Raw genomic sequence first — 15,763 nt, 5'->3', positions numbered from 1 at the left:
GTTTTCCTGATCGCTCCCATCAGGGCTCCTTCCACATGGAGGCTCTGCCTCTATCATCCTTTCTCCTGATTTGAATCCTCATGAAGGACAGGAACTGGGGTTGCTCTATGGTTTTGGTTGGTTTGTTTTTTAAGTTCAAAATTAATGAAACAAATGTCAAGGAAACATAATCTTTGGATCTTTGGACTGTAAATAAAAATAGGAACATTCGGGTCTTTGTATAAGACTGCTGTAAGTTTAGGCTTATGTATTAAATAGAAGAAGAAAAATGTGTCTGTTCAAATGCTCCCAGTATTGAGGGTTTAAATTGAATAGATTATTGTCTGGAGGAAAATTCAAGTATAAATTAGACTACGAAGAATTACTAACTGTTGCAGTTTTCATGTTAATTATTTCATGTTAAAAAATTGTTACCGCATAAATTAACACATTCTTTCATAGAAAACATATTTTAGAAAGATTTGTTACTTTAATAACTCTTTGTGTATTAGAAATCCCAGATGCCTGTACTAATTAAATATAATCAGATTTTAGATTCAAAAAGCACAGTAGCCATTTAACACAAACAAGCAGGCAGCTAGGTTGACAAACACACTCAGGAAGAAGTGGATCCCTGTTTCTTTCGAATTTTGAATTTCACAATCCAGAACTGTGAATTCAATTCCTGTCCTTCCTTTGTATTACAACGACTGGGGATTATTAGACTCAGAGCGCCAGCTTTCCAGCTCAAGGGCTCCTGCAGAATTATTAATCAGCCGCTTCTGAGGCCCCTGTAATCCGGTGGCAGATCAAGGCTGATCTCGCCGTGAGATGCCCTCCCTCTGCCCCCGTCAGCACATGAATTTCTTGTTCTCTGTCAACAACAGCATTGCCATTCCCGCACAGTGTGCTGTGACCTGAACAGCAAATATCAGGAGAGAGAAAAGGAAGAAAAAAAAAACCTTTTTAATTACTGAATTTAATCTAATTCTTCCCATGCTAGAGAAGCAAACCATCCTTTCATGAAAAGCAAACCCTTTAAAATGCAAGCCATTGTCTTAAGCACCGACTAGTGTGTTCCCAACTCAGTGGTGCCGCCATAAAATGACCATGCCAACCCCCACCTCCCCAGCCCACATTGAGAGTCTATCATCCTGAGGGCTGTCTAGGGAGAGACCCCAGGGGACTTGCCCGACAGAATGCCCTGCCCTCCGAGGTCAGACACGGCTTTCCCGCTGAGCTGAGTCGCATGCCTGAACCGTGCTGCTTGTAATCAAGCTTCCCGGATCCGAGTTTGGTACACTTCAGTCACTAAGCAGAAAAGCTCCTTCATTTGTATTCTGTCGCTTCAAGCTCTGAGCTTCCACCTCGTTTCTGGGAGGGACGGCTTTGTTTATCTGCTGAGCCACCGTGGAGCTTCGGGGCCCAGATTAATAGTTAGGGGGAGCAGGTCAAATTGGCAGGGAAATGGAGATGAATTGTAGAGCGCATCCATTTTCCTCCCGGAAAGGGTGTGTTGAAAGCCAAAGATGAAAATTAAAAGAAAAGGGACTCTAAATCACCCTTTCCTACTACAGTCTCTCTTTAAAGATTAAAACTGTTTCAGGTCGGAGATGGGACCAATTTCTTTCATTCCCACCCTCGGGCAGCTCTGACTCTGCCCAGAGGATACAAATGGATTGGAGGTAAGCAGTGGTCACCTCAAGCCCAGCTTCTTTGCACACCTTTCCCCTTTATCTGTGCTGGTCAGTCCCATTTTGTATTCTGTGTGAGCATCTCTTTCTCCTTTGTGCTGTTTTGGGCAGAGCCTTTTGATGGTTGTTTATGAATGGTCAAGAGCAAGTCCTCAGTCTGTGCAGCCCACGTTTCTTGGTAATCATCAAGAAGGAAGCAGATGGTCACCCTCTGTGATTTTAAAGTGTGTAAATAGGAACTGTAGACTGCCATCAAACATCAAAAATGTCAGTTGGCTTCCTTGTCTTGCTTTGCTGGCAAAAGGAACTCCTGCATTTGCATCATCTGGGTAATCATGGACACGCAGTACATTTGTAAACTGCCCCAAGTTCTGAAGCCTCATTTCTTACAGCCAAAGGAGGGGGCTCAGTGGCATTGCTCTGCCATCCCCAGGGTGGCTCCCCCATTGGCACAGACACTGTACCAGATTGAAAAGGGGAGCGGTTTGAAAAAGCCACCCCAAAGTGATGTTTGTCTTCTGTATATCCTATTATCCTTTGATATGTTCTGAGCTCCCAGTCAAACCCCGTGACCTCCAACTGTTCCCACACAGTATCCCCAAACCCAGTGCTGCCCATGCAGCCCAGCTCGTCATGTGGCATGAAGTCAGACTGACACGGGCCCTCTGCCCCTTCTGGGGGTGGCTGGATTCTTGGCATCATTTCTGTGTTGAGCTACATCCCACACATCCGTTGATCACTCAGGTGAGTTCCTCTCACCACCCTGGGCAGCAGTGTGCAGTTGGTTACAAAGCTCTTGTCTTTTGTTCTGGATTGAAAGTCCGCAAACATAGCGTTTATGCTGTTGAAGCTGTGAATCAGAATTTTTATTCTGTTTGTTTTGTTTTGTTTTGTTTTCTCTTTACAGAGGTAATCAAGTTACAGAATTTTTATTCTGATATTACTTCCTTTCTGGCTCTTCGGAAACTGGAAGGATAATTGGAATTATTCAGAGCCTCAGTATTCTAGAACAGCAAGCAGGGCTCCTTTTTTCTTCAGTCCCACCCAAGATAACCACTTAAATAAGCCTCCATAACACAGTCTGTACTCCAAGGAAAGTCCCTTCGATGGTTCTCAGATTTCCTTCTTAAAAGGACTAAATACCCACAGTTTCAGGAGATGCCCATTAATGTTATCCTCTACTTTTGTGTTGCCCCCATAAGTTACCCTGGGTTTGTCATTGGTCACCGTTGCAAGGAGGGTGATGGAGAAAGGCAAGCAGCCCAGAGTTTCCTCCCTTCACTTCCTGGCTCCTCTAGGGATATTTGGAAGGAATGTCACAGTTTACCTTCTGGTAGCCTCCATGTCTGGATCGAATGCCCTTCCACAATTTATCCTGCCTATCCTTCCCCGACTGCAAAACCCCAGGATTAATACCTAGAGTCCAGCCTTGCCCCTGCATTCTCCCTGGTAGCTGAGCCTACTCCCCTGTGTCCTCTAGTTGTCCTGGGTTCAATTTTTAATACCCACTGATGGACCTTCTGTCTCTTCTCTGTCCAGTCTTGAACTCTGGGCTCTCTTGGAACTTTCCTCACCCCTCTCAGCCTGAATATTCCTTCCATGGATTCCACTCAACCAGACTTTGGATCTGTGCCTACTTAATCAACCTTATCTTTGCAATATGTTCGGGCCCACCTTCCACTCCTTGGTTCTTGTCCTCCTTGGCCTAACTTGTCCCTTCTCCACTCACATCCCCGGTGGGACAGCATTCCTCCTTCCTCCCAACCTCCCTCCTTCTCAAACTTCTTGCTCAACATTATGAAATTTCAGATGGAATATAATCTTAACCCATTGTAACATATACTTTTCAAAAAAACATGATGCTAAAACTTTATGAACTTGAAGTAGAAGTTTCAACAGAGTGCGTCACCGGGGATAACTGGAAAACACCCAGTTGTATTACTTCAGAAGCATTTGGGAAATCTGAAAGTCATTCCTTTGGCCTAGTGTGAAAATTCTGAGTTTTGCTTTGCCAAGTTTCATTGGGTTTGAAATCATTGTTTTGTTTAAATAACCACAAAGTTCCAGGTCAGGTCAGCTTTGATTTTGCTTCTTTCACAGGATATCCTGTCCTGGTACCGCCTTGTCACCTCCCCCTCCTGTAAACCAAATTTCTGTTATTGGCATTGTTTGTGATTTTTTTTTTTTGTTTTATTACCCAGAGTAACTTTCAAGTTGAATTATTGCATACTATTAAATATTGGATATAATAATTTGCAGAGTTAGTGGCTTTATAATTAAAAAGGGCTCTGGGTGGCTCTTTGGTTCAGAAAAACAGTGTCTATTGTTGAAGTTAATGGGTTTCCTCCTTGAAAATGCTATTAGGGCACAGCTCAGATTCTCTGTAGGAAGGATTTGGCTTCTTTTATTCAATACTGACTTCACCTTCTCCACCTTGGCCTAGTTTTTTAGCCAGAGGGGATATTCTCTGAGACTATGGAATTGGCCTGGTCACCAAGAAAAATAAAAAAGAGAGAGACTTGGCAGTTCAGCTCTCCGGAGATGTGAGCTGGGCCCACCCAGGCCTGTCCTGGCCCCTGCCGTGACCCTCCCCACCGCAAGGAGAGCCATGGGTCATGCTGCATCATTCCAATGCGGCTGCCTCTCCCTGAAGCCCTCATCTCCTGCTTATGTTCTCTTTTCCTGTCTCTGCTGAGCCCTCTTCTTCCTAAAGGCAGTGCCACCATTTAGTTCTCTGTTGGGTTTGCCCGTGAAGTCTGTCTCCCTGGCTGCCTAGAAACCCCAAGGGCGGAGGCAACCTGTGCTTGGTTTTCCCAGGAGCGCCTCACAGGGTGCTGGGGACATCATGGACCCTCAGAAGATTCTCAGTGATTGGTTGATGAGTGTTTTGATTAGGAGGGTTTTTTCATCTTCTTTTCCTCTTCTGATGTTTGGAGAGCTTTGGCATTGCTGATGGCATTTGCCAGTGCAACTCAGGGACTTTAGGCCTTTACTATCTGAATAAAATAACAGCTGGTATTTATTCAGCTATTACCAGGTACCAGACGCTGTGCTGAGCCTTTTACATCAACTGTTCTTCCCACCACAACCTTAGGAGGTTATCATCCCCAGTTTACAGACAAGGAAACTGAGACTTAGGGATGTTTTAAATGATCAACCAGCAAATCCAGTGTGCAAGCACAGGGATACCTGACTCGGAAGCTCCTTTCCTAAATGATCATAGTGGTCCTTCCACAAGTGACCACTCAATCCCAGCTCAGCCCACAATCGGACCACTTTGCATTGTCACTGAAGAGCATCCACTCCTCGTTTCCTGGCCGGCTTATGTACTCTTACTGCAGGAGGTGATTTGGCAGCAAAAGTATCTGCAGTCTTCATTGGAGCATTTGAAATGCCCATGCCATCATCTTAATGTATGAAAACACATAAAGAACAGGAAGTAACTGAGTCAAGTAAGCTATTTCTATTTGAGGCAGAAGTGAAAAACAGATTACCTGGCCACTAGGGATAGAGGGACTTCATTAACTGGAATGTGGCCTGGGGCTTGGGATGGGCCATCCTGACATGATGACTTTGGGCAGTCATCCTGTTGGCACTGAAAAACCGAGAGCATCAGTCAGGCTGTGCTGTCGTATGAAAGGAAGATTTTATTCCTATAACTTTTAAGAGTGAAGAAAATTATTAGTTTATTACACCACTGTATTGACACTCTTTGCGTTTAGTTTGATTAAGTCTGTGTAAAGGAAGAGAATTACTTTGACCGTCAGGGTGTCAGATAACTTACTGCCTGGCTGGACCCTTTAGCTAGTTAGAGCATTTATTGCTGTTTAACCAGCCTTAGGCAAGTTGCTATGAAGAAATATGTGTCTCCAACCTCAAAGGATTTGCATTCTATTTAAGGAGATTTTTTAAATAACTTATGAAAGAACTAGTAAAAGGACACAGAGGAGACATGGACACAGTGGAACAGTGTATAGTGTTTATGCAGTCAGGCTCTGGCACCTTCGGTTCAAATCCCAGTTCTGTCATCTACACTTGTCCTTTGTTTGGCACATTGCTTTCCTCTCGGTGTTCCGTTTTCTCATCTGTAGAACAAGACTATTGCTGGCATCCACCTCATGTGCCCAGTGCTTTGCATGCCTGACTCTTAGCAAGCGCTCAGTGTATGTTTAGCTATTGTGGTAGCTGCTATTATCAAGCATTAAACTGTTGTTTCTAGCACTGGCGCTAGGTGCATTGGAGAGATTAGTGAAGGCTGGAGTAATCACAGATGGCTTCATGAAGGAGGTGGGACTGGAGCTGAGGAGGCTGTAGCTAAGCAGGTGAAGAGAAAGAGAGCATTTCCAAAGCCAATGTAAAAGAAACAAGTGTGAGCATGCTAAGTGCAGGACACAGGTTATAGTAAAGCAAACTGAACTAGATTAACTGTGTTTGGGGTAGCAAGAACCAAGTTAGGTCAGGCACGGTGGCTCACATCTGTAGTCCCAGCACTTTGGGAGACCAAGGCAGGAGGACCACTTGAGCCCAGGAATTCGAGACTAGCCTGGGCAACATAGCAAGATCCCATCTCTACAAAACATAAAATTAAACTAGGTGCAGTGGCTCATGCCTGTAATTGCAGCACTTTGGGAGGCCGAGGTGGGTGGATCACCTGAGGTCAGGAGTTCAAGAGCAGCCTGACCAATATGGTGAAACACCGCCTCTACTAAAAATACAAAAATTAGCCAGGCATGGTGGCGTGCACCAATAGTCCCAGCTACTCAGGAGGCTGAGACAGGAGAATTGCTTGTACCCATGAGGTGGAGGTTGCAGTAAGTCAAGATTGCACCACTGCACTCCAGCCTGGGCAACAGAGTGAGACTGTCTCAAAAAAAAAAAAAAATTAAATTAAATTAAACATTAGCCAGGCATGGTGGTGCACATCTAGCATCCTAGCTACTCAGGAGAGGCAGGAAACTTGCTTGAGTAAGCCCAAGCAAGAAGAAGAGCCCACAGGGGAGACACACAAAATGCTTGGAAAGAAAGGAAGGACATGGGGAAGAATAAACTCAGAAAAATAATTCATGCATTTCTCATAGAAATGTTTGAGCTTTGCGGGTTGGAATATGCTAAGTTTTACTGCTTTGTTACCGAAATTATTGGTATTATTCACATGTGAGAAGTGTGCTAAAATAGTACAAATGTACCCAGAGCCACTCGTTAAGTAAACATGACAGAAGTGACAATGGAAGCATCATCTACCCAATTGCTAATTGCTGATAGACACCCATGGGCCTTGAAATGTCACGATGCTTTTGAAGAGTTTTGAAAAGTCAAAACACTTTTCCCATTCTGTCTCATCATAAGTCATTCTCAAGGTAATGATGTGTTATCTTCCATGTTTTAAAAGACAAGGGGAAAGAACGACGTGGGAAGTCATCGCACTTCTGCTCACAGCCCAGTGACTTTCTGTTGCGCTTAGGATGGAATCCAAAATCCTAGTACAGGTTACAGAGTCCCACAAAATCTGTCCTTGTACCCCATCTTATTATTCTTCATAGCACTTTATTGTAGTTGACATATATAATAGCCATTCATTTATTTTATCTCCCTCAAACTAAGCTTCCAGCTCCATGACTGCCAGAGACTGTGTTCCCTTTCGTCCTCCTGGCACCGAGTGCAGTGCCAGGCACTGGGGAATACTCCAGAAATACTTGTGGTAGGAAGAAAGAACAAGCCAGCCCAGCAGTGGTGGGTGTTTGTGTTGTTATTTCTGTGGACAAACTTTGATAACTGAATAAATCCACAGCCCTCTCCTTTCTCTTGCTTGAAGCATGGATGATTATTAACTTTATTTTAAATGAGGAAGACCAGGGCTTGGTGAGGTCAAAATGGTTGATGTCTAGTCACTTGCATTCATCCCAGTCTATTAAGAATTTATTCTTAATCCAGTCTATTAAGGATTTTCCACTTTGTTTCACTGTGAACTCTCCCAAGGCCCCTTGCCACCTCGTCTTTCTGCTGTTGTAACTAACCACCCCCATCCCCAGCTGCAGCCCCAGTGAACTGGGCCCCCTTGTCCTCAGAGAACAAAGTATGGGGCTCCCCCACTCAGATACATTCACTCCGACCCAAAGGGGATCTGAACACACTTCCTTTGGCAGTGAAAATGCAGGGTTCTCCAGGTGTTTTAAGTTTCATTAGTGTGTGGCTGTTGCTTTTCTATTTCAATTGGCAATTCTTAGACTCTTAAAAGGACATCCAGACAGTGACACTGGTGCTGTCACCAAGGACAAGTAGAAGACTCACCAGAGGGCAGGGAACTGATAATACGCTCTGTAAGGAACTGTGGTTATTCAGCCAAAAAGGGAAGGGCTGGGAGGGCTGACCAGCTACTCATTCATTCATTCAGCACCTGTTTATCAAGTGCTTTCTCTGCAGCAGACACTGTACTCAGTACTGGAGATGTGGCCATCTGGGAAGACATGCTCCAGCACTCAAGCACAGTATTTATCTGGGGCAGAGACAGCCTTCAGACAATTCATGCATTCATTGCCCTTTAATAATAACAGCTTCGTTAGGCAATATTTACTGAAAAAAAGTAGTGACAACTACAAAGAGGGAGGTGCTCTGGCAGCATAGAAGTAGGAAACCTACCGCAGTCTTTAGTGATCAGGCAAAGGTTCCCTGTGCAAGTAACACTTTGGCTAGGAGCAAAAGAGAAGTAAGAATTAGCCATGGGTTAAGGGCTTTTGATAAAGGAAATAGCCTGTCCGTGAAGCAGGTAGGAGCTTGGCATTTGCAAAGCAGTCAAAGAAGGGCAATGGAGAGGTTGCAGAGGAGAGAGGAGGGAAGCAGAGGAGAACAAGTCTGGGATGATAAGAAGCAGCTGGGGAAGTAGGTAGGGACCAGATTATGCATGTAGATTCTATTAGAAGGCTACTATAGAAACCCAGGGGGGGACATGCTGAGCAAGCGAGGACTAGAGGAAGGGTAGTGAATTCAAGATCATGAAATGGTCAGGATGTAATGGACCTGACACGGGCAGGGACAAAGCAGGAGAGCACAGAGATCATTCAGTAAAGATGTATTGACCTCCTTCAATAGGCAGGCCCTGTGCTGGGATCTGAGTGCACAGTGATGAAAAATAGAGTGTCCAGGTGAGGATGATTCTCAGGATTCTGTTGTCACCAACTGGGTGGTTTACAAAGTCACCAAGGATTGAGAAGCCAAATTGTGGGGAAGATAAATTTTGGATGTTGCATTTGAGGGGCACTGACTTGTATAACCAATTTCATGGAGAGACAATTGAGAGGGAAATTGGTTATGCAAGTCAGGGACTCGAGAGAGAGGTCCCATCTGGTGATATAAATGCAGGCATCATTGGGGTCAAGATAGTCATTGGAGCCATGGGATTGAATAAGATCCCTGATATTACACAGAGTTTGTGACCACTTATTTCATATCTCAACAGAATTCAGAGAAACAGGATTGAGCTGTATATCAGAAATTATTTAAAACATCGACACATTTATTCATTACAGGAATAATTCAGCCTAAGGCTAACTGGTCTTATATATGTTCCTGGGAGTTAAATGACTAAGGCACAAAGATCCTCTTACATGGAAGTTCTAGGACATGGGTACCAGTGACAACACCAGGTTGTCAAGTTTTCACAATGACAAGTCGAGGTTTCGGCAATGAGTTTACCTTGGGAGTTTGGTAAAATTTGCAAATAGTACCTGGAAAACATTCAGTGGAAAAGATGCTTCCAAGTACACACACCACACACACACACACACACACACACACACACACACACACACATATTATGGCCTTCGTGTATTGGCTTATCCTAAAGAATCCTAAACTGTTAAGCTAATTCAGTAAGAAATGACAGAGTGGTCACTTCTTTTTTTGAATTCATGTAAACATGGAACAAGTACAGTAAGTGTTACAGTGAAGCTCAAGATATCAGTGACATAGATGATCATTACCTGCATAGTTTGCTCTGTTTCCTCTAAATAAAATGCAAGGAGGAGAAAACTGTTTTCATATCTAAATCCTGCTCCCAAGCAGAAGAATTTCAAAGTGTGAATCAGCTAGTTACATAACAATTCCAAGTTAACTGCATTGCGGTTCTCCTGATGTTTTCTCCGTTGTTCTGTAAGTCCATACTACTTAGAAGACCACTTTGATTCTGACTTTTTGCCTGTCAGAACTTTACTTTCAAGGGAAAGGCAACGTTTACACCCAGGAGATCCTTCCTTCAAGGTGTCTGAAGTCTCCTAACTTACAGAGCTCACTGCAGCAGCCCTGCAGCAGGGACATCTGTGGGATTGTATAGGTTATGTACTACACAACCTTAGGGATGCTGTTTTCATAGACTGGGATTTTACACTGTGCAACCTGCAAGGCTAGTTTTAAAGACACCTGCCAAAAATCCCCAGTTAACTCCACCACATTTAGAGCTGCATTTTAGGGCCAATAGCTTTGTACCCTCAGGAGGTGGGAAGCCAAGATAAGGGGAAACAGAAGTAATGAGATGTGTCCAAGAGGAAGCAGGGATTAGCTCTTTTCAGTAGAAACCTCAGTTAATCATTAATACCTTATTGCTGCTTTGATTTAACCTTTTGTCTTCCTTGAAAAGGAAAATGAGTTATCTATAAAGAAGCTTCTTTTGTTGAAAGCAGCTGCTGTTTTAAGACAGAGAAGAAGCAGGAGAAGTTGGACAAAGACATTATGTTTTATTCCTCCAAATACATTATAAATACATTGTTTGGTGTAAATATATTGCTTGCCTTAGAAAGAAAATTAATACAAAACAAATTTAAGTAAGTTCCGACTAGTAGTAACTCAGACCACATATCTACAAATGACTTCCTTTCAAAGATTCCTTACATTAATGCAGCCTTTGTTTTAACATTTTTTGAAGGTTTATATATTATAATCCTTATTGTAGATTATAAAATGAGAAAATAATAAAGCTGACTAATGCAACTGGCTGATATTGCCGTTGGTTTTTTTTAATCTGAAATTATGAAATCCCTTGGAAAATCTAACATGACAGTATCCAAATTTTAAATAGTCACTTTCAGCAACACACACACCTTCACCAATGTTGAGTGATTCAAAGAAGGGGAAAAACAACTCCTTTGGTTGTCATTTTATTTACAGGATTTGTCTGCACAGCAGAGAAAAATGTTCCATTTACTTCAGAGATGGTCAGAGATTTCCAAGCCATTTGGCTCAAGAGATGGTTTAAATAGGAATGAATGTAGTATACCTTTAATTCTCTGAAGTAAGAGAACTCCAGCTGAGGTTTGGTCCAGAGCAAAGTCTGCTCTCAACATTGAAGAAAATCTATCACATTAATCCCAGTGGCTCAGAGTCCAAAGCTGCGTGAACAGAATGCTAAAGGATAGGAAGTGTGAGAAGAATGCTTTGAAAGAAACCTTAAAAACAAAACAACTGACTATTCAGAGAATACCAGGTCTTATGTGGAATCATCTAGCACGTAAGGAAAGATATAAATAATTATGCCTGAGAAACATAACTAATTAAAAATAACTCCATGCATAAAAGGAAAACTATAGAATAACTTTTCTGCTCCAGTGTTAATGTGAGATGCCTCATAATGAAATAGTAGGATTTTTTTCTTTCATTTCATTTCACACAGACACATGAGAGATGGAGAGGAAAATTATATTGCCTGAAAATGCCAGGGTAGATTTACTAAAGATGTTATCATATGCTGTATTTAAGACAAAAATCTAATTGCTGTAATTTATCATACCTCTGGCTATTAAAACTGTGCCAATTTAAATATTTTAATCATTCGCCACTTTTGTACATAGTGACTTTTTATAGAAGATTCTATGAAATGTTCTGATTTTGTCAGCCTTTGTATGATTTTCAGGAGCTCCTTAAGCAGAATGAACATGCTTTAAGCATGTAACTGTGTTTCCATAAGTAATAAAAATTCCTTGTGTTTTTCTTTTAGTTTGTTCAGTAAAATACCTGGAACTGCTTTATAATTGCTGAGCTGAATGTTTGAGAGCACAAGCTGCTGAATCCCTTTTATTTTATTTTATTTTATTTATTTATTTATTTATTTATTTTTATTTTATTTCATTTTTTTCTGAGACGGACTCTTGCTCTGTCACCTAGGCTGGAGTATAATGGCACGATCTCGGCTCACTGCAACCTCTGCCTCCTGGGTTCAAGTGATTCTCCCGCCTCAGCCTCCCAAGTAGCTGGGACTACAGGCTCGTGCCACCATGCCTGGCTAATTTTTGTATTTTTAGTAGAGACGAGGTTTCACCCTGTTGGCCAGGCTGGTCTTGAACTCCTGACCTCAAATGACCGCCCGCCTCTGCCTTGTAAGGTGCTGGGATTACAGGTGTGAGCCACCACACCCGGCCTGAATCCCTTTTAATTCCCTGCACACACATCAAGCTTGTAGAAAGCAAGGTGGACCACACCCTTCCTTTTGGTTTAGAGACAGGATTCTTTCAATGATCAAATAAATTTTTGAAAAAAAGGACTCCACTGACTTTGACATGAATTTGCACCTTGGTCTTGAAAAGTCAGAGACTCATAAGACAGTCATGGAGGCAGAACTGCTCTTTAAAAAACAAACATTAAATAGTACTCTTGCTGGGTGGTAGAAGAAAAAGTGGTAAGAAAGTGATCTTACAGTATGGAAGAAAAAACTATCCCAGGAGTAAAGATGGCTACTACAGGGAGAAAGAATGGAGGAAAAACAGCAAATGTGGAGAGAGAAGGAGCTGGAGGCAGATTCCTTTCCCTGCTGTGGGTGTGGGAGGCCTTTGGGAAATCTAACACATTTCAGCAGAACACATGGGCAGTATCCAGTTGTCCCCACCCTGGGAGCAGCTCAGTGGTTTAATCAGGTTTTGTGTACCCAGTGAGACCACACTATCTTATATACCCGAGGACTCATGAGAGCAGCATTATGACTAAATCCTATGTATGTTTATTAAAACATAGCATTATTTCAAAGTTAAATATATATATAATTTTCCTAAATCATAAGAAACCAGGGCTTCTTCCCCCCTTTATTGAGGTACTAAGGTGCTTTGAGCTGGATTACTTACGGTCACACAGTCAAGACCAGACCCTACATCTTCCCAATCCCAGCCCATTCCTGCTTCACCTCCTTTCTGTCTTCCCCTCTAAACCTGCTCTCAGGAAAGTAGCTTGCCAAGTGCCTTTCCCTCCCACACCCCATGCCCATTGCAGTGCCCTCTGCCTGATGAATAACCAAGTGTTCATTCTGCAGGTGCAAAGTTCCCCATCAAGTGGACGGCCCCCGAGGCAGCCCTGTACGGGAGGTTCACAATCAAGTCTGACGTGTGGTCTTTTGGAATCTTACTCACAGAGCTGGTCACCAAAGGAAGAGTGCCATACCCAGGTAAGAGCAGGGCCTCACAGACATGGGCCTGAGATTGGAGGCTTTTTTGACACCATTTGGGAAAACTTCATCCACTTTGCTTTCTAAGCCCCATCCTCAGCTTTCTGCTGAGCTTGAGTTTGAAGAACATGGCCAGGTATTCAGCGAGAGAAAAGCAGAACTGGGAGCCACCATGTATGTAGACAAGCAGCCACCATGAACTGTGTGCCAGGATTAATGTAAGTAGCAGCTGGTCTAAATGCTTCAGTCCCCCTCCAGTTCATAGAATCTCTCCTCTCTCAGTAGGAGTATGTGTCTGTGGTTCCCAGAGCAGAAATGTCACTGGCAGTGCCTCTGCCCAAATGGAGTTTGCAGACATGTCTGGGAAAGAGAAGGAGAAAAGCCCCACTGCTTTTTGATTACACTGTAGCACTGACCCATGGAGTGAGCCTGGCAGGAAGGTGCCAGGACCTGTTCTCTCCACAGGACCCAGCTCCAGATGGCCAAAGAGAGCAGAGGCACATGTGAAATGCAATTTAGAGCCACTCACTGCCTGTTGCTGAACAGTCAAAACATGCTATACCAAAGCAAGTATAATGTAAAGAAATTGGAAATTCTTAGACTCTGGAATGTTTCTGTATTATCAGATTTATGCTCTCCAAAGAAACCACGAGTTTGGCTTATCCATGCTTAAATTGATTAACGTCGACAGATGGTGACATAAAGGACACCCATGCCATTTCACCTCCACGCTTTAGTGGTTATAGCACAGGGACGATCTGCTTTTTTGAAATGTTAAGGACATATTTTTCAGTTACTGCTGAGTGAAGAAAGAACATAGCTCCCCCTCATTCCCTGCGTAAGAAAGGAGCTTAAAGAAAAAAAAAAAAAAAAAAACAATGATAGAAACGATAGTGACGATTAATGAGGAATTTAGGTCTCTTGCAAATCCTGGGTTTGTAATCATAGCTTTGCAGTCAGAGGAGCTAGCGAAGGCAGATTAATTTGTAATCCCTTTGTTCCTTTTTTATGATTGTTTCTGGTCATCTTCAGAGAACACAGAGAGGGGCACATCAAGATAATCTCGTTCTGGGTTGGTGTAGCCTTGAGACTCCTAGGAGAGCCAAGTTGACATGGAGGCAAAATTGACAAATTCCCAGTCTCTGAAGTGCCGGCACTGGGCGTTTAGAGATGCGGGTGTAAGTCAGTTTTATTGATGCTGCGGTGACTGCTGCTCCCGGCATGCACACACGGGCAGACACTCCGGGAATCGCCAACCAGCACAGAAGAAAGGGCCGCCCTGGGGGATGGAGCACAGCGTGGGTGTTTCTGAATTGCTTCTCAAGGGGGGAAATGTGCGGGTCTCAGGAGGGCGAGGATGTGAAGGCATCTCTTCTTTATTTATTGTCTGAATTTTGAACTGATTTCTTCCTGATCCCTCCCAGGTTTATAGTCACCCTGTGTGTTAAATGCAACTGGGGAGAAAAGGTTAATGTTGTTTTGCGTTTCTGTGAAGCCTTCCCTTCCAGTAATACAAAGCAGCTTTTTGTTTCTCAGGGTCTCACACAGAAACCAAGACAAAGGGGTGGAGGTGGGGGCCTTGGAGAAGGAAGGCAGGTGCGTGTTTCTGAGGGAGTCTTTTGTCAGGTTTGGTTTTAGCATAAAGAAAATGCCCTCATTTTACCACTTAGACCAGGATTCATTCATTCAGCGTAGCTTCAGTCACTGTGAACTGTGCCAGGCATTTTCCTCTATCGGGGAGATAGTGCAAATAAGACCCTCATACTCTAAACAAGCCTTGATTAGTACCTGCCTCAGGCTAGGCATTGTTAGCACAGTGGGCAAGTAAATAAATTTAGTCCCTATGTTCATGGATATTACAGTCAGATAGATAAAATGTGCATCAAATCCAGGAAGAAACCAGCCTTCTTTATTCCTTGTTTATTATCAGAGGGAGTCATCCTGAAAGGATGGACTACTTGGCTTTACCTACTATGGGGCCTAGATCTTCATTCTGATAATGGGGTCAGGGACACCTGATCCAGGTATCCACACACAGCAGGTCCTGAGAGGGACTCTTCAAGCTGAGTCCTGTGAGGATGGCAGAGGAGTTTGAAGTGAGAACTAACTCCAGCGGCTCCTGCAGAGAGAGCTGTGAGCAAGTGCTGGTCTGCAGTGGGCTGTGATAACTGCCTCTAGCTGTGGAGGAGTGCTGGAGAGGGGGCTGTGTAGGGAAGGCAAGTAAGCCAGACCTTGGAAGCCAAGTAGGTTTCCTCAAGCCCAGAAGGCGGGAAGAGCATCCCAAGGTCTGGCACGTGGGAAGGCACATAGGCCTGGGAGGACAGTTCCAGGGACCACAGGATGAATCTGAGAAGATGCCATGTGCAGGGGCACACCTGGAGATGTGACTGGAAGGGTGGCCGAGAGCCTGCGTTGGGGCCTTGCTGGTTGGCAGTGGCAACCAGGGAACCGTGTCCTCATTGGGGGTGTCGTGAGCTGGTCCTCATTCAAAGAAAGCCACAAAAAATTGTTCCCAGGCCTGTTCCTAGCCATGGGTTCTTCCTGGGTTTTGCTTTTTAACATAGCTATAATCCTATTTAATTGGGTTTGTGAATCCAACAGAAAACTCTTCTTGAGGGAGAAGCTTTTACAGAGGGATTCCAATTATAGGATTATTACCCTAACGAAGGATAAT

At 43.5% G+C, this 15,763-nt stretch overlaps 1 protein-coding gene across 21 annotated transcripts in view, besides 2 other annotated features; it reads left to right on the top strand.

Moving 5' to 3' along the window:
• Window positions 1–15,763, top strand: part of FYN (FYN proto-oncogene, Src family tyrosine kinase) — a 213,121-nt gene that overhangs the window by 185,865 nt on the left and 11,493 nt on the right. For all 21 annotated transcript variants that reach the window (XM_047418569.1, XM_047418561.1, XM_005266892.5 and 18 more), the window contains one exon: window positions 12,958–13,089. In XM_047418569.1, coding sequence (XP_047274525.1) covers window positions 12,958–13,089 — 132 coding nt within the window. The remainder of the gene's footprint in view (window positions 1–12,957; window positions 13,090–15,763) is intronic.
• Window positions 4,317–4,818: an enhancer, noted in NCBI's record as "H3K4me1 hESC enhancer chr6:112003973-112004474 (GRCh37/hg19 assembly coordinates)". NCBI's record gives its function as "activates a minimal SCP1, AML or CMV promoter by ChIP-STARR-seq in primed H9 embryonic stem cells {active_cell/tissue: H9 hESC(primed)}" and the evidence as "EXISTENCE:reporter gene assay evidence [ECO:0000049][PMID:30033119]".
• Window positions 9,415–10,338: an enhancer, noted in NCBI's record as "OCT4-NANOG hESC enhancer chr6:111998453-111999376 (GRCh37/hg19 assembly coordinates)". NCBI's record gives its function as "activates a minimal SCP1, AML or CMV promoter by ChIP-STARR-seq in naive H9 embryonic stem cells {active_cell/tissue: H9 hESC(naive)}" and the evidence as "EXISTENCE:reporter gene assay evidence [ECO:0000049][PMID:30033119]".

This window comes from Homo sapiens, chromosome 6 (assembly GCF_000001405.40).
Source record: "Homo sapiens chromosome 6, GRCh38.p14 Primary Assembly".
In the NCBI taxonomy this organism is placed as follows: domain Eukaryota; kingdom Metazoa; phylum Chordata; class Mammalia; order Primates; family Hominidae; genus Homo; species Homo sapiens.
Note: the sequence above shows the minus strand (reverse complement) of the source record. Positions and strands in the feature narration are given on the sequence as shown.